This window comes from Homo sapiens, chromosome 20 (genome assembly GCF_000001405.40).
Source record: "Homo sapiens chromosome 20, GRCh38.p14 Primary Assembly".
NCBI classification, from domain to species: Eukaryota; Metazoa; Chordata; class Mammalia; order Primates; family Hominidae; genus Homo; species Homo sapiens.
Window position 1 is genome coordinate 44,286,994 of NC_000020.11, and position 26,272 is coordinate 44,313,265.

Below are 26,272 nucleotides of genomic sequence, written 5' to 3' on the forward strand. Positions count from 1 at the left end.
ACCTCATAGAATGAGTTTGGAAATAAGCCCTGCTTGTGATTATAGTAGCATTTTGGGTCCCCAGGGAATAGCTTCAAATCAGAGCCAGTGTAGAATATACCTTGAAAGCTCTGGGTATTTCCCTCTTTCTTGAAATTTCTTCCTTTTCTCTGGGATACACTCAGGTAAGTGTTAGGCTCCTCTGAAGAGCTTAAAGGAAAATAGTTTATACTTGTGACAGTCACAGGAACTTTTCTCAAGGAGATCTAGCCTTCCCTACATTTCATGGGCCCCAGGGCACTGAACTGGGTAAGAGATTACTTCTGCAGGACAGTTCTCTGGGTGTCCTTGGACTGATCCAGTTCTCCCCACTTTCTTGTTTACAATTCTCTAAAACAACAGTAGAATGTGCTGGAATGTAATATCTTGACATAGGAAGGGACTAGCCAGAACTTCCTGGGCTCTGTTCCAATCCCCCCAAAGCCCGCCCCGAACAGGATGTCCTTCAGTGCTTTAGCCCAGTGATCACATTGCCCTGGGTCATAAAACCCAAGCCAAGCTACTTCCAGGGTCCCACTGCTGCAGTGCAAGTGAGGCATACACAGTCAAGGCATTATCCACCTTGGGCAGCATTCCTGAGGCTTGGGGGACCAGGCTTCTGTTGTCCTTTGCTCCTATCTGTAAGTAATAAATCTGCTTCATGTAACTTGTGAATATGAGTGTTCTGTCCCACCGGACTCAGACAAGTTGGTAGCCAGTGCATGGTGAGCCTGTTTCACCACTTTATTAGTCTGTTTTCATACTGCTGATAAAGACATAGCCAAGACTGGGCAATTTACAAAGGAAAGAGATTTAATTGGACTAACAGTTCCACGTGGCTGGAGAAACCTCATAATCATGGTGGAAGGCAAGGAGGAGCAAGTCATGTCTTACATGGATGGCAGCAGGCAAAGAGAGAGCTTGTGCAGGGAGACTCCAGCTTTTCAAAGCCATCAAATCTTGTAAGACTTACTATCACAAGAACAGCATGGGAAGGAACTGCCTCCATGATTCAATTAGCTCCCACTGGGTCCCTCCCACAACACGTGGGAATTCAAAATGAGATTATGGTGGGGACACAGCCAAACCATGTCTCCACTTAAAGTTAGGTCTCTGCTCACTGGACCCAAAGTTTTTCTGACTATACAGAGCAAGTAAGACTTAAACTGCTCAAATGTTTGATTTCTAGGGACAATATGATGAATTCACCTCCAGTAAAAGTCCCTGTGGGTCAAAATATTCCAGTGGTTGCTATGGCTCTGCTGCTATGATGGAGTTTGCACCCAACTCATCTCTGGCAGTAAGTGCTGCCACTTAGACTCTGCCACTCCTCATCAAAACCAGGAAGCCCATTTCAGTGGTGGCACTTCCCACTGTCACACCTAGGCTATAGAGGAAAGTACTCCAGGGCTTTTGAATGGTACTAGTGCTTTCTCTGCCAGTGCTTGCTCAGTGACTTAGTGAAAGGAGTGTCCTCTGGGCCCCCCTGGTGGACTTAAATGATAGGGTTATTTAAGGTGATAGGGTCAGGGTCAAGTCATACATAACAACTGGCTGTGGTGGGGCACCTGTAATCCTAGCTACTTGGGAGGCTGAGATGCGAGGACCAATCGAGCCCAGGAGTTTCAGATCAGCCTGCGCAACATAGTGAGACCCTGTCTCAAAACAAATTAAAATTAAAATTAAAAAAGAAAGATGTCACCCCATGATATTTTAAAAAACCGTACATAGTAAATCCATCCCAACATTTCTATTTCCTTAAAACTTCGAATTCCTCCCTTAATAGTATCTTAGGGAAATTCTAGCATCTCAACTTCAATGAATGTAGACCACCACTAAGTCCAGGTTTCAGTCAGTCAATCCAGGAAACCATTAGAGTCACTCGCAAATGCTGAGATAACATATTAAATCTAGACTCTCCAGAAAATGCATGAATATCCATAAATTTAACCCAGCCTAATATGGTTTGTTCTTCTTGGTCTGGCATCTTTATGTTCCATTGCCACACATACTCCCCCAGGTCTCTGTCAACATACATCAACAAAACATTTTTATTCTTTGGTATCATAGACTCTCTTTGGGTCAGACTTTGAACTTGCTCTCCTGGGGTGTGTAAGGGTCTGGAAGCAGTGAAGGGTGCTGGAGTTGGCCTTGAGGTGAGGCACCCCCTTGCAGGAAACTGTCTTGGATGAGGTCATTACGAGTCTTCCAGCAAGAGAATGATCTTCTCAGAAGAGGAGGAGGGCTGCTTCCACTGTTAAAGAGGACCTGGGTTGATTTGGAGGTTCAAGGTTGGCAGATTCATCTGATTTTACCCACAGGGGTCCAAACTGTATGTGAATAATGGAATGGAGCCCATGAGCCTGCCATTGCTACTGAATGACTGGGGGCACTGCTGTCGCTACTGAAGCTCATGTTACTTCACTGCTGCTGCTGAAAAAAAAAAAAACAGAAACCCCCACTCCTGCTGATTGCTAAAATGCTTTTCATGTTGTTAGAGCCCAGGATCATCTATAGTCACCTTCAGTCACCCACTGCCACTGTCAGAGCCCATTTCTAGAATCAGAGAAAAAATTAAAAATGTCCTCGTTTCCTCCACCTCCCAATCTCCACCAGTGTCTTCCACTAGCAGAGCCCAGAGGAAAGCAGGATGAGAAATGCACAATGCAGGCTTCCCATCCTGGGGATACAGAGGAGCACGTGGAGGGGAAGGGTGGAGGTCAGAGTCAACGGGCATCGCCCAGGACACTAACCCTGCTGAACTTCAGGTCCCTCGCCTCAAATACAAAGTTAAAAATTCACCCCCTACTTACCTCTGCAGATTATGTTGAGGAACTAAGATAATGATTGTGAGATTACTTTATAAATTAATCAAGTGCTGTACATTTGCAATAGAATGTTATTATTCCAGTTATTATTACAGTTGCATGGGTTATTTATATTGTTGTTGTAATAGGTACTGGGACTGCCACCCTTGCTCCCCCAGTGGCTGGGAGGATTGGCTGTTAATGGCTCACAGCTGAGTCCCTCTTGGGGCACTGCCTCAGCTGAAGGGAGCTGTCTCATTCAAGGTTACTCCAGTTCCCTAAGGGTAGCTTACATCCAGCGACTGGTAGGTACAGAGATAGAAAGGTCTGACCCTCCTTACTTCAATTTAGGACATCTCTGAAGGGCCATCCGAGACCCACAACTCTCCACAGGATCAGCTAAGGTTCTGGAACAACTGCATCATAGTTCAACTTCTCTCTCTGCCCTTCCCTGCTTGTCTCACTCCCTTGCAGGTGATGTTTCCAAGAGCACTTCCCAATAAACCTTCTAAATGTAAATCTCATCTCAGAGTCTGTTTCTGAGGAAACCATGCTAAAGCAATTATCGTGGTGCTTTCAAGTACCATCACAAACATCTGACCCTTAAGACCACCCTAAGATGCAGAAAGGGCACAGAGTGTTACACATACTCCTTGTTCAGATGAAGAAGTTGAGGCTCAGTGAGATTAAGTAGCTCACCCAAGGTTGCACACAAAGTCAAGGTGGAGTCAGATCTGAGCACAGCTCTCTTGACTCTCTGACAGGTGTTTTGACCATTTCACTTCCAGGGAGAAAGCACAGATGCCTGTTTGGGGGGTCCCAAGGATTAGAGCTGGGAGGATGCTTCCAGTCAGCCTCTTCTGTCTGCTGGAGCAGAAGCAGATTAGTGTTGCCCTGGGCTCGGGATCCCTAGCAGGAGGACAAGGAGGAGAATCCATTTACAAACACTCCGGAAGCACCTACCCTGGGCCAGAGTCATTAAATAGGACCCAGTCCCCACCCCCAGGGAGCCTCCAGCTTTGGGGCTGAAGAAGAGAGCAATATTGCTTGAAGGTAAGGGGAACTCTGGAAGCAGGATGGAAAGCAATTTTGGCCAGAACAATAAGTGAAAGACTGATCAGCAGGAAGAGTCTGCTGAGATTTGGGGATGACTGCCCACAGCAAAGACAGAGAAACTCCCATCTCGGTTTGGAGACAGGGAGGGTCTTCAGTTGTTAGAAGAGCTGGCAACTCTTCCTAGAATCTGTGGAAAGACTGTTGCCCAAATGAGCTGTCTCCAATAAATGGCCAACACACAGTAGCTTTTCTAAGGATATCTGCATGAAGAGAATGAGGAACCCCAGCTTGGAGAAGTGGGAATAAAGGAGATGGAATACAGGGGCTGGGAAGTGCAGAATCATTAGGGTGAACGCTGAGCTGTTTTAACAAGAGGGAAGAAACACCTGGAGCTTAAGAGCGTAAAAGTTCAGGTATGGTGGCTCACACCTGTAATCCTAGCACTTTGGGAGGCCGAGATAGGCAGATCATGAGGTCAGGAGTTGAGACCAGCCAACATGGTGAAACCCTGTCTCTACTAAAAATACAACAATTAGCCGGGCATGGTGGGAGTCACCTGTAATCCCAGCTACTCGGGAGGCTGAGGCAGAAGAACTGCTTGAACCTGGGAGGCGGAGGTTGCAGTGAGCTGAGATGGCGCCACTGTACTCCAGCTTGGGCAACAGAGCAAGACTCCATCTCAAAAAAAAAAAAGAGAGTAAAAGTTCAGTTATCTTGGGGAGGCTGAGGCAGGAGGATCGCTTAAGCCCAGGAGTTCAAATCCAGCCTGGAAAACAAAGTGAAACCCCATCACTAAAATCTTTAAAAGGGGTAGGGGAAGTTCAGTTATCTCCCATTAACAAGTTCAGTGGTGCAGACTGGCCGGTGTCTGTTTGCTGACTGTTACTCCACCTTCCAGTGCATTGTCTTCATCTGCATGGTCAAAACTCGATCATGAGAAGCCGGGTTTTATGTGATAGGACAGGAAAGAGACGATGGAGGAACATATGCCCAATAGTTTAAGGCCTAGACTTGAAAGAGCAACATATCACTTCCGCTCACATTCCAATGGTAAGAATGGAGGGCCTCACCCAGCTGCAAAGGAGGCTGGGAAATGTAGTATCTGGCTGGGTAGTCTATTGCTAAGGAAGAAGAGAACAGATTTTCCTGGACAGCTAGCAGCCTCTGGCATAAGGAATAACTGTGAATGAGAAGAAGATCAGGTAGACTGCTGGAGAAAATGGCAGACTCTGGCTGGGCGCGGTGGCTCACACCTGTAATCCCAGCACGTTGGGAGGCCAAGATGGGTGGATCACCTGAGGTCAGGAGTTTGAGACCAACCTGGCCAACATAGTAAAACCCTGTCTCTACTAAAAATACAAGTTAGCCAGGCATGGTGGTGCCCGCCTGTAATCCCAGCTACTAGGGGGAGGCTGAAGCAGGAGAATTGCTTGAACTGGGAGGCGGAGGTTGCAGTGAGCCGAGATTGCGCCACTGCACTCCAGCCTGGGCAACAAGAGGGAGACTTTGTCTTGAAAGAAAGAAAGAGAGAGAGGGAGGGAGGAAGGAAGGAAGGAAGGAAGGAGAAAGAGAGAAACAGAGAGAGAGAAGGGAGGGAGGGAGGGAGGAAGGAAAGAAGAAAGGAAGGAGGGAAGGGGAGAGAGAGAGAAAAGAGGAGAGGAGAGGAGAGGAGGAGAAAGAAAGAAAATGGCAGACTCGGTATGGGCTGGAAGACATTGGAAACCCCTCACCCACCTGTTCTACATATGGGACACCAAGGCCCTGCATGGGGTGATGTCTGGTTTGGTCAGGATCCCACTGTAAGAGGACTAGAGCCCTAGGAGTCCTTTCCCTGGTCCCATTATTTTTATTTTTATTTTTAGAGACAGAGTCTCACTCTGTTGTTGCCCAGGCTGGAGTGCAGTGGTGAGATCATAGCTCACTGCAGCCTCAAACTCCTGGGCTCAAGTGATCCTCCCATCTCAGCCTCCTGAGTTGCTGGAACTACAGGCGTGCACCACCATGCCTGGCTCCTGGTCCCATTCTGTCTCTCAGAACATCATGGAGAAAATCCAGAGTGGGAGACAGGAAGTGTCAATACATAGGCATTTACCCAGAAATCTGTCAGCTGCCCAGCCTTCTATGAGTTGCCATCAGGTGCTTCAGAAATGAAGACGACGGTGGCTATCAGAGTTCAGTAGTCTGATGGACAACACTGCCAGGACTGTGGTAGTAGGTGTCCCCAAAGTTTAGACTGTTAAGAAAGGTCTCTCCATCATTACAGGATTCCTGCTGGGGAGGACAGTAAGGGCTTCTAAAGGGCATATTTTCTTTAGCTCATTGGTTCCTCACTGCCAAAGTCACAGACTCAATTGCCTAGATCACATCAGCTTATCTCCAAAGACCTGTTTGGTTCCTTTCTAGCAACCTACATTACCTAAAGGCCTTAGTTTTCTCATCTCTGAAATGGAGCTGATAATAATAGCTTCCATTCATTGACTACTAACTATGCACTCTGAAATTTACATAAATTATTTCTAACCCTGAGAAGTGCAGTTTTTATGTTTCATGGATGAGAAAACTGAGGCTCAGAGAGTTCAAGTACTGAAGGTAAAGGCAGTAGATTAGACTATTCGTCTTCCCCAATTGGATTGTACATTCCTGGCCTTTGACATGAAACTTTGCAGGACCTCCCACTGTCGGTAGAGTTTATTCCCTGCCCCATTGATGCGCCCACAGAAGGTTAGAGGAAGGATGTGTCAGGAGCAGAGGCCTTATTTTATTTATTTATGTATGTATGTATTGAGATGGAGTTTTGCTCTTGTTGCCCAGGCTGGAATGCGGTGGCACGATCTTGGCTCACTGCAGCCTCTGTCTCTTGGGTTCAAGTGACTCTCCTACCTCAGCCTCCCCAGTAGCTGGGATTACAGGCACACACCACCATGACTAGCTAATTTTTTGTATTTTTAGTAGAGACGGGGTTTCACCAATGTTGACCAGGCTGGTTTCAAACTCCTGGCCTCAGGTGCTCTGCCCACCTTGGCCTCCCAAAGTGCTGGGATTACAGGCATGAGCCAGCGCGCCCAGCCAAGCAGAGGCTTTAAATGTGCTGTATGGTTTGGCCAAGGTTTGGGTGCCTCAGTGGTCTTGATGAGAAGAGCATGCCCCCATACAGTTGCTGCCCTTTAAGCCTGGACACCAGAATGAAACAAGTGGAACAGCAGAGCCCAGCTGTGGCCTGGAGCCAAGTGTAGCCAATGGGCAGCCTGATGCGGAACTCACCAGCTGAGGCCAGCCCATACCAGCAGAGCTGCAGTTGATCTGTGAGCATTTGTAAGCCTGTGAGTTTGGAGGTGGCTTGTTGTAAAGCATTATTGTAACCACCCAATGGGTTCACCTTACCCACTACCTAGACACACCCAATGTATCAAGACAGAAGAATTGCAATGAAGAGAGGGTAATTCACCTAGAGCCAGCTGTGCAGGAGACCGGAGTTTTATTATTACTCAAATCGGTCTCTCCAAGTATTCAGGGATCAGAGTTTTTAAAAATAATTTGGGTTGCTGGGTGCAGTGGCTCACATCTATAATCCTAGCGCTTTGGGAGGCCGAGGCGGGTGGATCACCTTGAGGTCAGGAGTTCGAGACCAGCCTGGCCAACATGGTGAAACCCCATCTCTACTAAAAATACAAAAATTAGCCGGGTGTGGTGGCACGTGCCTGTAGTCCCAGCTACATGGGAGGCTGAGAGAGGAGAGTCGCTTGAACCCAGGAGGCGGAGGTTGCAGTGAGCTGAGGTCACACTGTTGCACTCCAGCCTGAGTGACAGAGTGAGATTCCATCTCAAAAAAATAAAGTAAAAAATAAATAAGAAAAATAAAAATAATTTGGCAGGCAGGGGCTTGGGAAGTGGGGAGTGCTGATGGGTCAGGTTGGAGATGGAATCATAGGGGGTTGAAGTAAGGTTTTCTTGCTGTCTTCTGTTCCTGGGTTGAATGGCAGAACTGGTTGAGCCCAGTTACCGGTCTGGTTAGTGTCAGCTGATCCATGGAGTGCAGGATTTGCAAAATATCTCAAGCACTGATCTTAGGTTTTACAGCAGTGTTGTTATCCCCAGGAGCAATTTGGGGGTGTTCAGATTCTTGGAGCCAGGGACTGCATGACCCCTGAAGTGTAATTTCTAATCTTGTAGCTAATTTGTTAGTCCTGCAAAGGCAGACTGGCCCTCAGGCAAGAAGAGGGTCTTTTTGGGAAACGGCTATTATCAATTTTGTTTCCGAGTCAAACCATGAACTGAGTTCCTTTCCAAAGTTAGTTTGGCCTACACCCAGGAATGAACAAGGACAGCTTAAAGGTTAGATGCAAGATGGAGTCGGTTAGGTCTGATTTCTTTCACTGTCATAATTTCCTACTATAATTTTGCAAAGGCGGTTTCATTATTACAGCAATCTCTAATACAATGGCAGAGCTGGGATATGAAGCATCAGATGTGTTAGGAGCCAAAGCCTTTGCTATTTTCTCTATGGTGTAGGTTGTTGGTAACTACAGGTGAGAAAATACAGTAAAAATGTCAGACCCTAAATAAAAAAATGAGGAACAAATGCTTGTTATTAATGTTATTCATGGTTGCTTTATTATTATATTGATGATACTAAGTCATTTCAGGGTTGTTGGGGGATATTTAGGAACTATAGTGCCCAGGCTTCTGAGAGAGACATCCTTAGGCAAAAATATAATATTACGTAGCCCCCATAGGTGCCTGACATTTTAAAACTTATATTTTCCAACCCGTGACTTCATTAAGGCAATTAAAGATGGCCAGGCACGGTGGCTCACGCCTGTAATCGCAGCACTTTGGGAGGCCGAGGCGGGCAGATCACCTGAGGTCGGGAGTTTGAGATCAGCCCGACCAAAATGGAGAAACCCTGTCTGTACTAAAAATACAAAATTACTCGGGCGTAGTGGTGCATGCCTATAATCCCAGCTACTCAGGAGGCTGAGGCAGGAGAACTGCTTGAACCCAGGAGGCAGAGGTTGTGGTGAGCCAAGATCGCGCCGTTGCACTCTAGCCTGGGCAACAAGAGCAAAACTCCGTCTCAAAAAAATAAATAAATAAAATAAAAAAGACAATTAAAGACTAGTGTGGCAGAAAGTATTATCCTCACTTCGTAGTTGAGTAACCAGCTCAGAAAAACGAAGTGATTTGCCCAAGATCATACAGCTGAGGAGCTGATTGGCAGATCTGGAACGCGGTCTGCTTGGCTCCAGGTCGAGTGCTTCTAATAACTCCAGAAGAGAGTCCACTTATGTCCCCATCCATTCACCCCATACCACTCCCATCAGCACGGCGGGGGGTGTGCCTGGCAGATGGAGCATGATCAGGAAATGCAGGCAGAAGGCAGGAAGGGCTGAGAGGAGTGGAGGGTGGAAAATTAACTACAGCAGCTTGTTAGGGCAGGGCCCCAATAACTTTTTCTTTTTCTTTTTTTTTTTTGAGATGGAGTCTCACTCTGTAGCCCAGGCTACAGTGCAGTGGTGCCATCTCTGGTCACTGCAACCTCTGTCTCCCGGGTTCAAGCGATTCTCCTGCCTCAGCCTCCTGAGTAGCTGGGATTACAGGCAGGTACCACTGTGCCTGGCTAATTTTTGTATTTTTAGTAGAGATGGGGTTTCACCATGTTGGCCAGGCTGGTCTTGAACTCCTGCCCTCAAGTGATCCGCCCACCTCAACCTCCCAAAATGCTGGGATTACAGGTGTGAGCCACTGCACCCGACCCCCAATAACTTTAGAAATTAACAGGCTAACCAGAGGTGGCTCCCAGGCTCCCACCCACCTACCTCCTAGGCACTCCCACACCCCAGATGCACATGCCCTGGGCAGCCACACCCTGACAGAGAAGACATGGCAAGTGGCAGGGCTCAGTGAGAAGGCCCCCAGCCTGGTCCCCAAAACTAAGCAGCCCAGGAACTAGTGCCAGGCAGCCCTTAGCTCACCTTTGGGCAGATAGCACCTCAAATAAGATGGGGACCTACTTAACCTTAGCCAAAAGGACACCACAGACACAATGTGCCCTTTCTTTTTACAGCTCTCCTAAAAAACAGTTCTTATTCTCCCTCATCCCCTAGTGAACCCTGAAACCAGACTGCAGAGGCTGGAGCACGGGGACCCGGCCTTCCACATTCACTAACTGCACTTTTTTCTTTTTTTGAGACAGGGTCTCGCTCTGTCACCCAGGCTGGAGTGCAATGGTGCAGTCTTGGCTCCCTGCAGTCTCCCGAGTAACTGGGACCACAGGCGCATACCACCATGTCCGGCTAATTTTTTTTTTTTATTTTTAGTAGAGACAGGGTTTTGCCATGTTGCCCAGGTTGGTCTCAAACTCCTGAGCTCAAGCGATCCGCCCTCCTTGACCTCCCAAAGTGCTGGGATTACAGGCATGAGCCACTGAGCCTACCCTGATGGTATATTTTGACTACCCATGAGTCAATAAAAATTTAAAAGTCACATGCATGGGTTTTTTCCCCCTGATTTTAAAGTAAGTTATGGTTCTGCTGGCACATCAGAGATTTACTGTGCACTTGAAAGACATTTATATAGTACCTCCCACGTGCTAGTTCCTGTTCTTTTTATTTTATTTTATTTATTTATTTTTTGAGACCGAGTCTCACCGTGTTGCCCAGGCTGGAGTGCACTGGTGTAATCTTGGCTCACTGTAACCTCTGCCTCCTGGGTTCAAGTGATTCTCCTGCCTCAGCCTGCTGAGTAGCTGGGACTAAAGGCACCCACCACCACGCCCGGCTATTTTTTTTTTTTTTTTTTTTGTATTTTTAGTAAAAATGGGGTTTCTCCATGTTGGCCAGGCTGGTCTCAAACTCCTGACCTCAAATGATCCGCCCACCTCAGCCTCCAAAAGTGCTGGGATTACAGGCATGAGCCACCATGCCCGGCCTCACTAGTTCCTGTTCTGAGTACAAGTGTTAATTCATTTAGTTCTCACAACCCTTTAAGGTAAGTTCTTATACCCATTTTACAGATGAGGAAACTGTGGCCCAGAGAGGTCAAGGAACTTGTTAAGGAACAGCCAGAGTGTGACAGAGTAAGGATTTAAACTAACGCAGTCCATGATAATCTCTCCATTCCTTTGCTTTTCTAAATGCTTTATATAAACCATCTCTGCCTGAGCTGGTGACAGTGTCAGGGTAGATTCGGAAAACACCCTGCTTTTGACCCTCAGCACACTTTGGGGACTCTCCTTTCACTGTCTATGCCCAGCTAGACTGTAGACCTGCTGAGGGCAGGTCTGTGTCTCTCTGAGTTAATGGTGCATCCCCTGTGCCTAGTACTGAGCCTGGTATACCTGGTGCTCCTCAGCTGTTGGGGCAGTGAATGCTGAGTAAGTTGAGGCACTATTAACCCCACCACATGCTTCAGAAACTGATGCTCAGAGACATTGACTTGGTCAAGAACACACGGCTGTGAGTTATAGCCAACATGAGCCTGTGGCTTTCTACCTCCAGGTTCTACACTAGACATATACCACTTATTCTTTTTATTCCTCCTCGCCTTCTTTGTGGTGGTGAGATCACTTATTCTTTGCAGTGACTGCATTTATCACTAAAATGGAGTTGCTATAACCGATGGGCATTTAGGTTCTTGATAATCTTTCACTCTTACAGACAGCTGTAATGAAACCTTCGTCCTTAGCTTTGCTCACTTCTTGAAGCATTTCTAAAGCCCAAATCCCTAGATTGAAATCACTGGGTCTACACATTTTAAGTGTTTTTTGTTTTGTTTCGTTTTGTTTTTGAGAGGGAGTCTCACTCTATTTCTCAGGCTGGAGTGCAGCGGCACGATCTCGGCTCACTGCCACCTCTGCCTCCTGGGTTCAAGTGATTCTCCTGCCTCAGCCTCCCAAGTAGTTGGGATTACAGGCGCACGGCACCACGCCCGGCTAATTTTTGTATTTTTAGTAGAGACAGGGCTTCACCATATTGGCCAGGCTGGTCTCAAACTCCTGATCTCAGGTGATCTGCCCACCTCGGCCTCCCACAGTGCTGGGATTACAGGCATGAGCCACCGCGCCTGGCCTACTACTAGTGAGAGGTGACAGCGTGCTGGCAGTCCTCACAGCCCTTGCTCGCTCTCGGCGCCTCCTCTGCCTGGGCTCCCACTTTGGCGGCACTTGAGGAGCCCTTCAGCCCACCGCTGCACTGTGGGAGCCCCTTTCTGGGCTGGCTAAGGCGGGAGCCGGCTCCCTCAGCTTGCAGGGAGGTGTGGACCGAGAGGAGCGAGCGGGAACCTGGGCTGCGCGCGGCGCTTGCGGGCTAGCTGGAGTTCCGGGAGGGCGTGGGCTTGGCGGGCCCCGCACTCGGAACAGCCGGCCGGCCCTGCCGGACCCGGGCAATAAGAGGCTTAGCACCCAGGCCAGCGGCTGCGGAGGGTGTACTGGGTCCCCCAGCAGTGCCAGCCCACCGGCGCTGCGCTCGATTTCTCACCGGGCCTTAGCTGCCTTCCCGCGGAGCAGGGCTCGGGACCTGCAGCCCTGCCATGCCTGAGCCTCCCACCTCCTCCATGGGCTCCTGTGCGGCCCGAGCCTCCCCGATGAGCGCCGCCCCCTACTCCACGGCGCCCAGTCCCATCGACCACCCAAGGGCTGAGGAGTGCGGGCGCATGGCGTGGGACTGGCAGGCAGCTCCACCTGCAGCCCCGGTGCGGGATCCACTGGGTAAAGCCACCTGGGCTCCTGAGTCTGGTGGGGACGTGGAGAACCTTTATGTCTAGCTCAGGGATTGTAAATACACCAATCGGCACTCTGTATCTAGCTCAAGGTGTGTAAACACACCAATCAGCACCCTGTGTCTAGCTCAGGGTTTGTGAACGCACCAATCGACACTCTGTATCTAGCTACTCTGGTGGGGCCTTGGAGAACCTTTGTGTTGATACTCTGTATCTAACTAATCTGGTGGGGACGTGGAGAACCTTTGGGTCTAGCTCAGGGATTGTAAACGCACCAATCGGCGTCCTGTCAAAACAGACCACTAGGCTCTACCCATCAGCAGGATGTGGGTGGGGCCAGATAAGAGAATAAAAGCAGGCTGCCCGATCCAGCAGTGGCAACCCGCTTGGGTCCCTTTCCACACTGCGGAAGCTTTGTTCTTTCACTCTGCAATAAATCTTGCTGCTACTCACTCTTTGGGTCCACACTGCTTTTATGAGCTGTAACACTCACCCCGAAAGTCTGCAGCTTCACTCCTGAAGCCAGCGAGACCACAAGCCCACCAGGAGGAACGAACAACTCCAGACAAGCCGCCTTAAGAGCTGTAACAGTCACCGCGAAGGTCTGCAGCTTCACTCCTGAGCCAGAGACATCACGAACCCACCAGAAGGAAGAAACTCCGAACATATCTGAACATCAGAAGGAACAAACTCCAGACGCACCACCTTAAGAGCTGTAACACTCACCGCGAGGGTCCGCGGCTTCATTCTTTAAGTCAGTGAGACCAAGAACCCACCAATTACGGACACGCTAGGTTGCTATCTAAACAGGTGCGACCAGCTTACCTCCCTTCTCCTAAGGTATGAGAATCCCTGTTTTCTGTACTGTGTGTGTTCAACTTTAAAACTCCCCAGAGACTGTATTCGAGGTTTCTGGGACAGTTTCTAAAGGTGTTTAAACTGTAAAGGATTTCTCCTAACAGAACCTACCTTCTTGACAGCTCTCAAAAATGTTTTTATTTTTGAGACTTTTTAAAAGAGCTGGCCAGGCACAGTAGCGCACTGCTGTAATCCCAGCACTTTGGGAGGCCAAGGTGGGTGGATCACCTGAGGTCAGGGGTTCGAGACCAGCCTGGCCAACATGGTGAAATCCCGTCTCTACTAAAAATACAAAAATTAGCTAGGCATGGTGGCGCACGCCTGTAATCCCAGCTACGTGGGAGGCTGAGGCATGAGCACTGCTTGAAGCCAGAAGGTGGAGGTTGCAGTGACCCGACACTAGCAACTGCACTCTAGCTTGGGTAAGACAAGACTATGTCTCAAATAAATAAATAAATATTACAAATAAATAAGACCTCTGCAGTTTATTCCTCTGGGAATTAGGTCCAGCTCCCCATGTCCATTAAACCTATGTGAACATGCGCAACCAGGCCTGAACTACATTTGTGTGTTGATGTAGAGAAAAAGGAGGCAGGGCTGCAACAAAGTCCACCCAGAGGTCTGCTTCCCCCATCATTCACCAAGAAACCAGCTGCCACAACAGCTCTGAGTGGGAGTTTCTTTTCATGTTGTTTCCAAAAATAAAAGCCATAGTCAGCTTGGGAAGAACTTTTCATCAAGCAGAACAGAGAAACAGTAGAAAAGATTCAAAGAGTTGGTGAGATTATCCAGTCCAACCCCATCGTTTATTACAGGAGGAAATTGAAACCCAGAGATGTTGAGTGACTAGTTCAAGGTCACACAAAAGAGTGGAAAAACCAGCAGCAGAACCCACCTCAAAGCCAGGTGCTCTAACTTCCAGCTGAGCATCTTAGTCCATTTTGTGCTGCTATAACACAAGACCACAGACTGGGTAACTTATAAAGAACAGTGACTTCTTACAGTTCTAGAGGCTGGGAAGTCCAAGATCAAAGGGCTGGCATCTGGCTAGGGCCTTCTTGCTACATCATCCTATAGTGGAAGGCAAAAGGGCCAAAGATTTTGGGGGCTAGGGGACAAACTCATCCTTTATAAAGATGCTCCTCTCATGGTAACAAACCCACTCCCCAAATACTGGCATTAACCCATTCATGAGGCCAGAGGCCTCATAACCTGATTACCTCTTAATGGTCCCACCTCAATGCTGTTGCATTGGGGATTAAGTTTCCAAGACATGAACTTTGGAAAATATATTCAAACCACAGCACTGAGTGCTCTTTATGTTACAGCAGGGAGTATCTATGATCTCCACTCACAGTCCTTTAAGGCTAACTTCCTTCCAATCTCAGTTGCTTTTAAAAATGACAGGAAAGTGAGGCTTCTTGAAAATGGATGTCCGCATAAAAATCATGGTAACATATCTATGAGCCTTTGTGTGTGCTGTCCCCACTGCCTTGGATTCCCTTCTCTGCCTAACTGCTTGAACTCCTCCTCATCCATCAAAACCCAAAGAATTGCTGCCTTCTTTGAAAATATTCCCTGACTCTCCAGGGCCTCTGGTTGTTCCCTGCTTTATGTTCTTGGCCCTGACCTTGCCCCAGCACTCAGAACCCTTTATGGCAGGATTGGTTCTTCTCCATGAGAGTGAAAACTCTTCCAAGGCAGAGATGGACCAAATTCATCTTTGCAACACCAGCACACAGCTTAAGCTACAAAAGGATGGACTTTGAACCACAATCTCCACGCGGAGGGGAGTTTATCATTCCACCCCAGCTCCCAGCTCACAGTGTGAGCCCAAGAAGGGTTTGTTGCTGCCAAAGGAATCTGAACAGGGAAGTTCTGCAACAGGAGGGGATTCTGATCCTGGAGCCACGGAGCTTTCAACAGACACTTCCTGGACGTGCCAAGCAGGTCAGGCTGACAAACGAGTGGGCACTAAAAGGCACAAGAAGCTCTCACATGTGTACAGGCCTCCAGGACTACAAAGCACTTGCAAAGGTGACCTCATCTGAGTAAACTTTGAAAGTGCTCTTCAGTGTTGCTTCTGTGAGGCCTACTTCACTTTTTACCAAGAGAACTGCTCCCAAGTCTGGCTGATCCTGACCTCAGGACTGTAAGACATGAAGGTGGCACACAGGGAAGGAGTAAGTCAAGCTAATAAATACATGTCTGAACATGCATTTATATTACAAGACATACGGGGAAAAACAGGAGCAACTCTAGCCATAAAATAACCCGTATATGACAAGTTAAATTGAGAAAGAATTACCTACTTTCACGAAGTGCGCTGAGGTTTATTGGGCTCTGCGCTTCCTTAAGAGTATTAGAAAAGAACACACAAAATGCTGAAATATGGGATTTCATTATCTCAGTTTACTTTAATTTGCTTGTTTACACACACGATCTGTGTGTACATAACAGTGGCAAGAGCCATTCTCTAAATACAATCTGGTACCCAGACTATGACAGATGCACGTGGAAAATGAGGCGTCAGTGAATTAATCTCAACATAGAAAGGCAAAATAAGCATGGCAGTATTCTATGATCACAGATGCCCCCAGAGCCTGGGGGTAACCGACACTTTTCAACATAATACAGGACAATTTTAACAAAAGACCCAGACTCCAAATGGCACCCAAAATATATTCGTTTCTCTGCCTTCTCTAGAGGAGTCAGAAAGTTCTAAAGGCTTACTCAAGAAAAAGGAGGCAGGGAGACTATGGCCTGCTAAGCACAGATGCTGAGCACTTTACATGCACCATTTCTCTTCATCTCCACCTGACAGACGATGAAAACGAGGTTTGCCATGATCACACAGCTATCAGGAGTGGTGCCAAGATATGAACCCACATCTCATGTTTGCTTGAGCCCAAATCCTTTCACTTATGTCAGGCTGTTTCACATAGGAATAGAAAGCATGCTCCCAAGGAAGAGGCAAGGGGGCTAAGCATGGACAAGTGGCGGAAGCCTCATCGATACAGAAGGCTCTGCAATTGACACTTTCCACATACAGTTAATTTAGTGCTGAGCCCGCATCAGACCCACGTGGGATAAATATCTGGAGATTTAAGTGTCACAAATGAACTTCTGGGGTCACCCTGTGCCTATTCCCTTTTGGTGCTGAACATGACACTTTGGAGAGCCTTTTTTTTTTTTGAGACAGAGTCTCACTCTGTCGCTCAGGCTGGAGTGCAGTGGCGTGATCCTAGCTCACTGCAACCTCTGCCTCCTGGGTTCAAGCGATTCTCCTGCCCCAGCCTCCCGAGTAGCTGGGATTACAGGCGTGTACCACCACACCTGGCTAATTTTTGTATTTTTAGTCGAGACGGGGTTTTATCATGTTGGCTAGGCTGGCCCAACCTCAAGTGATCCTCCCATCTCAGCCTCCCAAAGTGCTAGGATTACAGGTGTGAGCCACCATGCCTAGCCTAGGAGAGCTTTCAATCCCTTCAACAAGCCCCTGCCATCTACTCCATGGCCACTCCCACCACTGGTTTATGGGCATAGGCAACAGAGGGTCACATCTTACCAACGCCTCCAAAGCACCATGGTGCCACCTCCCATATCTCATCACCTGTGTTTCTGCTCCTTTTGGGTGCAACAAATCATGACTCATTGTGATGGATAAAATTAACCTCCAACTTGATGGGATATGAAATATTTAAAATATATCCTTATAGTAAAAGATTTTACACCGAAGATTCATCCTCAACCACTTAAGCTTCAGTGAAGCCAGTCAGGTGTAGTGCTTCTCAGTTAATGCTACTATTGGACTTGATTGGAGAGAGGGGCATCAAGGCGGCCTTAAGGGTGATTACCCCAACAGCAAGGGGCTCAGTTTGAAAGGCTTAAGGAGACAGTCTGGGAGAGAAGAGGGGATATCTTATCACAGGGCGTGGAACTGTGCCTTTGTGGATGGAGGTGACAGGATTTCTAACCCTTCCCAGCATTGTCACAGCAAAGGCCACAGAATGACAAAGCTGGAAACTGAAAAGTGCTGCAAAGGGGAGAGAAAAAGGAAACTGATTTCAAGTCCAGCTGAACAGGCCCAGGTATGGTTTGGTTTAGTTTGGTTGGTGATGCAAGTAACAGGAGGGAGGGACCACAGCCATGCCACCCTTCAATAAGGGTGATTTTGCAAACAGGTTGGCTTTTTGCCATCAGAGGGAGGCATTTTACTTCACTTCTGAATTATCATAATCTTGTCCAACAGGTACAGATGCCCTGGGCCACAGCAGAGTGATCAGTGCACTCAGCACATGACCCTGAAGCACACTGTTCAGTCTATACCACTGATATGTGGTCAGGGACATTTCGGTGCAAGAACGCATTCTGCAAAATTACCTTGATTCACCTTAAAATTCAACAGGCTGTTACTAAAATGCCTGCTTTCTGGTTTGATTATCTTATTTATTTATAGAAACCAGGGTCTCACTATGTTGCCCAGGCTGGTCTCAAACTCCTGGGATCCAGTAATCCTCCCACCTCAGCCTCCCAAAGTGCCAGGATTATAGGTGTGAGCCACTACACCTGGCCCAGGTTTCATTGCTAACAGAGAAAACAGCCCCATGAGGTGGAATTTAAGACTGTAAGACCAGAGTTTGGTTCATAACAAGTACATTAGTGTTCTAAACCAACCAACCAATCAACCAGCCAACCAACCAACCAACAAACCCTCAAAACAACCTACATGTGCCAGAGTGCAGCACTGGCCTTGTGAGTTATTTTCAGGAGTTTTATCAACAAAGAACAAATGTCACAGTTCTTATCAAAAACTGTAAAGGATTCGCTCAAAATAGAACAGAAAAAAAGTAATCTTATTGCTCCAAAAAAACCAGCATATAGTAATAGAAAACATGGACAGAAAATGATCATAGTCCATTACGTATGAATCATCCAATACTTGGTCGGAGAGGCACTGCATCTAAAAGGGCCTGTTTTGGTGGCTAATCGCAAGTCAGTTGCAATATTTAAACACTTCATGGATGAAACAAATATTACAACCAGAGAGTGTCCTTCAGGCATCAGGCTGTTTTTATAAAGAACCCTGCCTGAGCCGGGCGCGGTGGCTCATGCCTGTAATCCCAGCACTTTGGGAGGCCGAGGCAGGTGGATCACCTGCGGTCAGGAGTTTGAGACCAGCCTGACCAACATGGAGAAACCCCATCTCTACTAAAAATACAAAATTAGCCTGGTGTGGTGACGCATGCCTGTAATCCCAGCTACTCGGGAGGCTGAGGCAGGAGAATCGCTTGAACCTGGGAGGTGGAGGTTGCGGTGAGCCGAGATCGGGCCATTGCACCCCAGCCTGGGCAACAAGAGCAAAACTCCATCTCAAAAAAAAGAAAAAAACCCTGCCTGAAATAGATGCCTATGCAAAACTGACCAGTGGGAAATACTGTTTTGTTTTGTTTTTTCTTTTTTGAGGTGGAGTCTGCTCTGTCACCCAGGCTGGAGTGCAGTGGTGCGATCTCAGCTCACTGCAACCTCCACCTCCTAGGTCCAAGCAATTCTCCTGCCTCAGCCTCCTGAGTAGCTGGGATTACAGGCATGTGCCACCACACCCAGCTAATTTTTGTATTTTTAGAAGAGACGAGGTTCGCCATGTTGGACAGGCTGGTCTCGAACTCCCAATCTCAGGTGATCCGCCTGCCTCGGCCTCCCAAAGTGCAGGGATTAGAGGTGTGAACCACCATGCCTGGCTGGAAAATACTGTTAAGTAACAGCAGTAAGAGCCGTGAAAATCTAAAGACAACTGGAACCAGGGAGAAGGCAGCAAAGGAGTCCCAAGGCTCTGGCCACTCCTTTAGCCACACCATAAAGGCTTTCCTGATTCTGCCCTTTTGCTGAGCCTTAGGTCCCCACTCTAGGGACAAAAGGAGTGTTCCAGATAAAGGTCAAGTCTTACCAGGGACAAAAAGTGCCTAACTGGGAATGGTGGTGCTTGCAACACTGGTGATGTCGCCAAGAATAGTCTGAAGACTAAACTCACTCCCCAGACTTCAGCACCACCCACCAAAACTGCCTGGTACACTTTCCCTCTGAAGTAGGATCAATAATTTAGCCAAATAACTAAGCAAAATATATATTTGAAAAATAGATTAGCCATTGTCCTTCTGTCCCCCCTCTGTTACTCTTTTATTTCTTGTAACTATCTTGCTTCAAATTCAAACTACAGCTCTGGGGAGGAAGTCCTGGGGAAAAGGCTTTCGGATACCAAAACCCGTATGTCCCGTACCAGCTCAGCAAACCAAACAAGGTGCCAAACACCTTCTGGGACAAGTTGTGGAAATAAACAGCTGTGCACAGAAACATCAACACCCAGATGAAAGTCAGAATGCCCAGGGCCACAACCAGGGTGGTGATGGCGGTGTGGAGGCAGTGGCTTCGGTCCGTCTTCACCTCATGCAGCACAGACATCTCTTCTACAATCATGAGGGCGCAGAAGGTCAGCAGGAAGGAGTGACCTGAGATGTCAAAGCCATGCCAAAAGCCCCCTTCCTGGTGGCACTGCTGCTTGCTCTGGTGTTCCTTTCTGACCCCCTCCAGGGCTGGGGACTGGTAGCAGCTGCCCGTGTAGTGTTCGATGTTGGAGAAGATGGAGGTGCAGATGTACCAGATGGCCGTGCCCACAAGCAGGGTGCTCAGCCGCCGCAGGACCAAGCCAGCCTTGCCGGTCAGATGGTAGTTGGTGAGGGCAATGAAAGGCAGAAGGAGACAGAACGTCCAGGCCCAGGCCACTTTGACAAAATACCTGACAGAGGAGGAAAGTGGAAGTGAAGAGAGGGAACACGGTGGAGAGGACACCATGTCAGGACTCAGGTCTCTACACTGTCAGGGGAGGGAAAATGAGAAAACTGATCAAAGCTACAGCTCATAGCAACTATCATGTTTTAGGTACTTACCATATACTTCACTTACTAAGTACTTTATTTATTTATTTATTTATTTATTTTTGAGACAGAGTCTCGCTCTGTCACTCGGGCTGGAGTGCAGTGGCGCAATCTCAGCTCACTGCAACCTCCGCCTCCCGGGTTCAAGCAATCCTCCTGCCTCAGCCTCCCAAGTAGCTGGGATTACAGGTGCGCATCACCCCGCCTGGCTAATTTTTGTATTTTTAGTAGAGAGGGGGTTTTACCATGTTGGCCAGGCTGGTCTCGAACTCCTGGCCTCAAATGCTCCGGCCACCTTGGCCTCCCAAAGTCCTGGGATTACAGGCATGAGCCACTGTGCCCAGCCCTCCCCTCCTCCCCTACCCCACCCCTGTGTAAGTACTTTAAATGTATTAACCAGGTAATCCATTAACAACTCTATGAGTTGGCCGGGCGCGGTGGCTCACGCCTGTAATCCCAGCAGTTTGGGAGGCCGAGGTGGGCAGATCACGAGGTCAGGAGATCGAGACCATCCTGGCTAACATGGTGAAACCCTGTCTCTACCAAAAATACAAAAAATTAGCCAGGCGTGGTGGCGGGCGCCTGTAGTCCCAACTACTCGGGAGGCTGAGGCAGGAGAATGGCATGAACCCGGGAGGCGGAGCTTGCAGTGAGCCGAGATTGTGCCACTGCACTCCAGCCTGGGCGATAGAGCGAGACTCCATCTCAAAAACAAAACAAAACAAACGAAAAAAAACAACTCTATGAGTTAAGTACTGTTAATATCTGCCTTTAACAGAGAAGAAAACTGAGACAGAGGGAAGTGCCACACCAAAAGTGGAGGCCAGAAGCGGAGGAGCCAGGATTCAAATCCAGGATCTGTCGTCTTAAGCACTATGTTATTTACTTAGGAAAATAATATAAATAAATAATAATAACTGAGCATTTACCAAATGCCAGGAGCTTTCACACACATTCACTTTCCCATAGAGCACTCACATTTACCCTGGGAGGAAGGTGCCATTGTTCCATTTTATAGACAAGAAATCTAAGGCTCAGAAAAGTTCAGTACCTTGCCAGGGTCACACTCACACAACCAGCATGAACAGATTAAACCACGGTTTGGATAGCCCCCAGACTCATGCTGTTTCTCCCATACCATATGTGGTTTTTTATTTTTTATTTTTATTTTTCTGAGACAGGATCTCACTCTGTCCCCCAGGCTTGCGTGCAGTGGCACAATCACACCTCACTGCAGCCTCAAACTCCTGGGCTCAAGCAATCCTCCTGCCTCAGCCTCACAAATAGCTGGGATTACAGGTGTGTACCAATGTGCCTGGCTAATTTTTTTTAATTATTATTTTTGTGGAGATGGGGCCTTGCTATGTTGCCCCCACTGGTCTTGAACTCCAGGCCTCAAGCAATTATCCTGCCTCAGCCTCCCAAAGTGCTGGGATTATAGATATGAGCCATGCACCTGGCCTGGTTCTTTCCTAATGGCAGAAACAGTCTTACAACAATGAGCTTTACTTTAAGCCAAAGACACGGGTTCAACTCTTGACTCTGACTTAACTTATTATACCTCCTACCTCTCCAGCCCTCAGTTTCTTCAGCTATTAAACAGAGCTGGGGGGACCAAATGATTTTTTTTTTTTTGAGACAGAGTTTTCACTCTTATTACCCAGGAGTGCAGTGGCACGATCTCGGCTCACTGCAACCTCCGCCTCCCGGGTTCAAGCAATTCTCCTGCCTCAGCCTCCGGAGTAGCTGGGATTACAGGCACCTACCACCACACTCGGCTAATTTTTGTATTTTTATTTTTATTTATTTATTTATTTTGAGACAAAGTCTCACTCTGCCATCCAGGCTGGAATGCAGTGGCATGATCTCAGCTCACTGCAACCTCCGCCTCCCAGGTTCAAGTGATTCTCTTGCCTCAGCCTCCTCAGTAGTTGGAATTACAGGCACGCACCACCACGCCAGGCTAATTTTTGTATTTTTAGTAGAGATGGGGTTTCACCACGTTGGCCAGGCTGGTCTTGAACTCCTGACCTCAAGTGATCCACCTGCCTTGGCCTCCCAAAGTGCCTGGATTACAGGTGTGAGCCACTGCGCCCAGCCTGGTTCTTTCCTAACGGCAGAAACAGTCTTGCAACAAGGTCTTACTTTAAGCCAAAAGACCGGGGTTCAAATCTTCACTCTTACGGGTTCAAATCTTCACTCTTACTTAACTTACTATACCTCCTACCTTTCCAGGCCTCAGTTTCTTCAGCTATCAAACAGAGCTGAGAGGACCAAATGATTTTTAAGGTCCCTTCTATATCCCAGGATTCACTAGTTCCCTCTCATTAATCAGCACAGAGGCTTGGAACAAAACTCCAGGATCCATGACTACCTTCAAACAACAGGGGTGTGTTGTCAGCCAGGCCACTTGGCTCCCAGCTCACCTAGGCCAGAGGAAGCAGCAGCTGCCTTGTCCGCCTCCCCAGCGTTCACGAAAGGTGGCTGACCTAAACCCAGGACAGAGACTTGGGGCCACTACCACTCTCATGATCTATTCTTAGCCCAGCCTCTCAGGGTGGGTGAGGAAGGAAGGTGGACCAAGGACAGAAGGACTTTTTTCTAGGTTCCAATGGATTCTCAGGCACCACCCCCAGGCCTGTCACTAAAATCTTCACTGGGACTGATAAGGAAGATCTTGCCAGAGCCAAGACCCGTCAGGCATTTGAGGAAGCTGCCTGTGAAAGGAACCAGGGTTTTAAGCAGATAACCAAAGTTGGGCTGACTTTCAGGACACGCCAGAGACACTTATTCTGGAAAACACTTAGGCTCACATCAAGGGAGCAGTTTTATCTTTCAGAGTTTCCCTTTATGACCGCAACAGAGTTTTTGTGCAATAAACTTACTAACCGGGAGTTTTGAAAAAAGCAAGTAAGCAAGCAAAGGAGTGGATGGGTGGAGTTAAGGAGATGTCTCAAAGCGCCCAGCTGGGATTGCTTTTCTGGGCCACTGCCATGCATTCTGAGTGGCTGAGATGATCCAAGGAGATCCAGGGGAAAGGGCACAGACTAGGGGGTTCCAGCCCTCTGTGAGTATCTCACAGGCGGGGGCTCTGCCTGTCACAGGCTGGGGCGAGGCTCTTCCACAGGTCGTAAAGGGATTCTGTCACGCGCTGGAGGGATCTGATCTGACGCAGGGTGGGGTCTGCGCGGGGTCTGCCACAGGCAGGCAGGACAGAGGTGAGATGGCATCTCCCAAACAGGGCAGGGGTCAGCTCCTAACTCCAAGGGGAGGCGGGGGAGTGGTGACAGGGGCTGGTTCATCCCCACCCCATTCCACACCCCTACATATACAGAGACACACACGACCCCGCTTGTCACCACCTGCCCAGTCAAGCTCATGCTGCCCAAAGTGGGTCTGCAAACACTAACTGCTAGTGACACCAGCTACCCCGGGGCCTCCCAGGCGTGACACGCGTGCAGATGCTGCTGTCACGGCTAGGAGGAGGACCTCCCCTCCAATGACTCGTCCACCACGGCAGCTAGCACCGGCTTCTCTGGGCGAGGCGACAGCGGGCCGGCTCGGGCGGGGACAGCGGAGGACCGGGGTGCACTCACACGTTGAGGACGTTGCGCTTGTTGCTGAGGTAGCTCTCGGGCAACGGGGACAACTCCTTGAGGAGGGAGCCCGCCAGCATGGAGGCCACCAGGGCCCAGGGCAGGTAGCGCCGCACGGCCGCCCGCACCAGCGTCCCCCGCAACAACCACTCGCAGCGCTCCAGATGCTCCATGCCGGATCTCGTCAGCCACCGTCCTCCTCTCCGTGCCCTCTCGGCCACCGTATCGCCCTTCGCCCGGACCTGCGCCTCCACCTCCCTTCGAGCGCATGCGCACTGCCCGCGAGTCCCACAGCTTGAGGCGTGCTTGGGCTCCGGAGCCCGCGCGCTCCCCCTCGTGGCCGCTGCTGCCTCTGGCGCGTGACGGTCCCCGAACTCGCTCGTCTCCTCTGCGCTCTCCTGGCCGCCTCCTCTCCCCGAGCCTCCGCGTCTTGCTCTGGTCTGGGAAAAAGCGCTTGTGAAAGTATTTGCTGGAGGCTGGAAGAGGATAAATGTAGCCCTGGAGAATTGGAGCAGTAGTCACAGCATCATTTGATCTTTCTTGGAGCCTCGGAGACACCTCTGCCATCTGAGTCTTAGTTTTCTCATCTGTAAAATGCGAGAGACAAGAGGAGATCAACCTTTCCCAAAAGCTAGTTTATGAGCTCAGGGGTTCATTACGTTGGCACACGTAGAGGGACATGAGATGAAGTTTCCTTAGGAATAATTATTGTATTTATTTATTTATTAGTTAGTTGGGGGGGGGTCCCTCTCTGTCGCCCAGGCTGGAGTGCAATGGCACCGTCGCAGCTCACCGCAACCTCAAATTTCTGGTCTCAAGCAATACTCCCACCTCAGCCTCCCGAGTAGCTGGGACCACAGGCGGGCACCACCACACCTGGCTAATTTTTTTTATTTTTATTTCTGTAGAGACAGGGTTTTGCTTCGTTGTCGAGGCTGGTCTCAAACTCCTGGGCTCAAGCGATCCTCCTGCCTCGGCTTCCTAAAATGCTGCAATTACAAGTGTGAGCCACCACGCTCTGCAGTTATTAAATTAATTAATTAATATAATTAATTTATTTAGAGACATAGTCTCGCTCTGTTGCCCAGGCTGGAATGCAGTGGCGCGATCTCAGCTCACTGCAGGCCTCTGCCTCCCAGGTTCAAGCGATTCTCCTGCCTCAGCCTCCCGAGTAGCTGGGATTACAGGCACGCACCACCACACCCAGCTAATTTTTGTATTTTTAGTAGAGATGGGGTTTCACCATGTCGGCCAGGCTGACCAACTCCTGTCCTCAAGTGATCTGACCTCTCCAAATCTTAACCTCAAGTGATCTGCCAGCCTTCACCTCCCAAAGTGCTGAGATTACAGGAGTGAGCCATCTCACCTGGTGCAATTATTACATTTAAAGTTTAAATTTCTAAATTTATTTTCACCTGGGCAACACAGTGAGACTCAGTATCTATAAGAAATAATTTTAAAAACTAGCTGACTTGGTGGCTCAGGCCTGTGGTCCCAGCTACTCAGGAGGCTGAGGTGGGAGGATTGCTTGAGCCCAGGAATTTGAGGTTGCAGTGAGCTGTGATGGTCCCATTGCACTCCAGCCTGGGCCACGGAGCGAGACCGTCTTAAAAAGCACACAAAGAAACACAAAACAGCTATCTATGCCTGTTGGATGAAAATGCTGGATGCTGGGGGTTAATGGGGAGATCACATGAAGTTGTTGGAGACTCAGTTGCTCAGTTTATCACAAAACTAACCCCTCACCCCTGGTTAGGGCTGGGTGTCTATTTCAGTTCCCAACCTTGGACTCATTCCCTTACCCCAATGTTAGTTTCCTGTGGCAGCTCTAATAAATTACTATAAACTCAGTTTATTTTTATTCCTTTTTTTTTCTTTAGTTTTAAATAGAGATGGGGTCTCACTATGTTGCCCAGGTTGATCTCGAACGCCTGGGCTCCAGTGATCCTCCTGCCTCGGCCTCCCAAAGTGCTAGGATTACAGGTGCGAGCCACCGTGCCCAACCCTAAACTTGTTTTAAACAACAGAAGTTTATTCCAAAAGCCACAAACCCAGCCAATACACACATATATAGTCATATCAAGAGATGGGCATTTTAGGCCAGACGTGGTGGCTCACGCCTGTAATCCCAGCACTTTGGGAGGCCAAGCTATTTTGATCTTGGCTCACTGTAACCTCTGCCTCCCGGGTTCAAGGTAGTCTCCTGCCTCACCCTCCCAAGCAGCTGGGACTACAGGCACATGCCACCACACCTGGCTAATTTTTTTGTATTTTTAGACAGGGTTTCGCC

The 26,272-nt window shown here is 48.6% G+C and overlaps 1 protein-coding gene and 1 long non-coding RNA gene across 2 annotated transcripts, besides 5 other annotated features; both read right to left on the reverse strand.

The window, feature by feature from the left end:
• Positions 1-732: 732 nt before the first annotated feature.
• LOC124904910 (uncharacterized) lies at positions 733-4,362 on the reverse strand. The gene is made up of 2 exons (XR_007067597.1): positions 3,525-4,362; positions 733-2,451 (listed from the first exon to the last, which is right to left on the reverse strand). It is a non-coding gene; the product is annotated as an uncharacterized LOC124904910 (long non-coding RNA).
• Positions 4,363-15,846: 11,484 nt separating this feature from the next.
• On the reverse strand, positions 15,847-24,209 carry FITM2 (fat storage inducing transmembrane protein 2). Its single transcript, NM_001080472.4, has 2 exons — positions 23,983-24,209; positions 15,847-20,247 (listed from the first exon to the last, which is right to left on the reverse strand). The coding sequence occupies exons 1-2, from the start codon at positions 24,153-24,155 to the stop codon at positions 19,632-19,634; spliced, it is 789 nt and encodes a 262-aa protein (NP_001073941.1). The 5' UTR covers positions 24,156-24,209; the 3' UTR covers positions 15,847-19,631.
• Positions 23,056-23,785: an enhancer, noted in NCBI's record as "H3K27ac-H3K4me1 hESC enhancer chr20:42938689-42939418 (GRCh37/hg19 assembly coordinates)". NCBI's record gives its function as "activates a minimal SCP1, AML or CMV promoter by ChIP-STARR-seq in naive H9 embryonic stem cells {active_cell/tissue: H9 hESC(naive)}" and the evidence as "EXISTENCE:reporter gene assay evidence [ECO:0000049][PMID:30033119]".
• Positions 23,056-23,821: a biological region, named in NCBI's record as "H3K27ac-H3K4me1 hESC enhancer GRCh37_chr20:42938689-42939418".
• Positions 23,732-23,821: an enhancer, noted in NCBI's record as "active region_17921". NCBI's record gives its function as "activates an Ori minimal core promoter by ATAC-STARR-seq in GM12878 lymphoblastoid cells {active_cell/tissue: GM12878}" and the evidence as "EXISTENCE:reporter gene assay evidence [ECO:0000049][PMID:35858748]".
• Positions 23,786-24,515: an enhancer, noted in NCBI's record as "H3K27ac-H3K4me1 hESC enhancer chr20:42939419-42940148 (GRCh37/hg19 assembly coordinates)". NCBI's record gives its function as "activates a minimal SCP1, AML or CMV promoter by ChIP-STARR-seq in naive and primed H9 embryonic stem cells {active_cell/tissue: H9 hESC(naive and primed)}" and the evidence as "EXISTENCE:reporter gene assay evidence [ECO:0000049][PMID:30033119]".
• Positions 24,112-24,261: an enhancer, noted in NCBI's record as "active region_17922". NCBI's record gives its function as "activates an Ori minimal core promoter by ATAC-STARR-seq in GM12878 lymphoblastoid cells {active_cell/tissue: GM12878}" and the evidence as "EXISTENCE:reporter gene assay evidence [ECO:0000049][PMID:35858748]".

Bases quoted from the DNA above. Each gene is read 5' to 3' on its own strand.
- FITM2 (NM_001080472.4), bottom strand. From the start codon at position 24,155: ATGGAGCATCTGGAGCGCTGCGAGTGGTTGTTGCGGGGGACGCTGGTG. The intron at 20,248-23,982 runs GTGAGTGCACCC...CTCCTCTGTCAG, and splicing joins AAGCGCAACGTCCTCAACGT to GTATTTTGTCAAAGTGGCCT.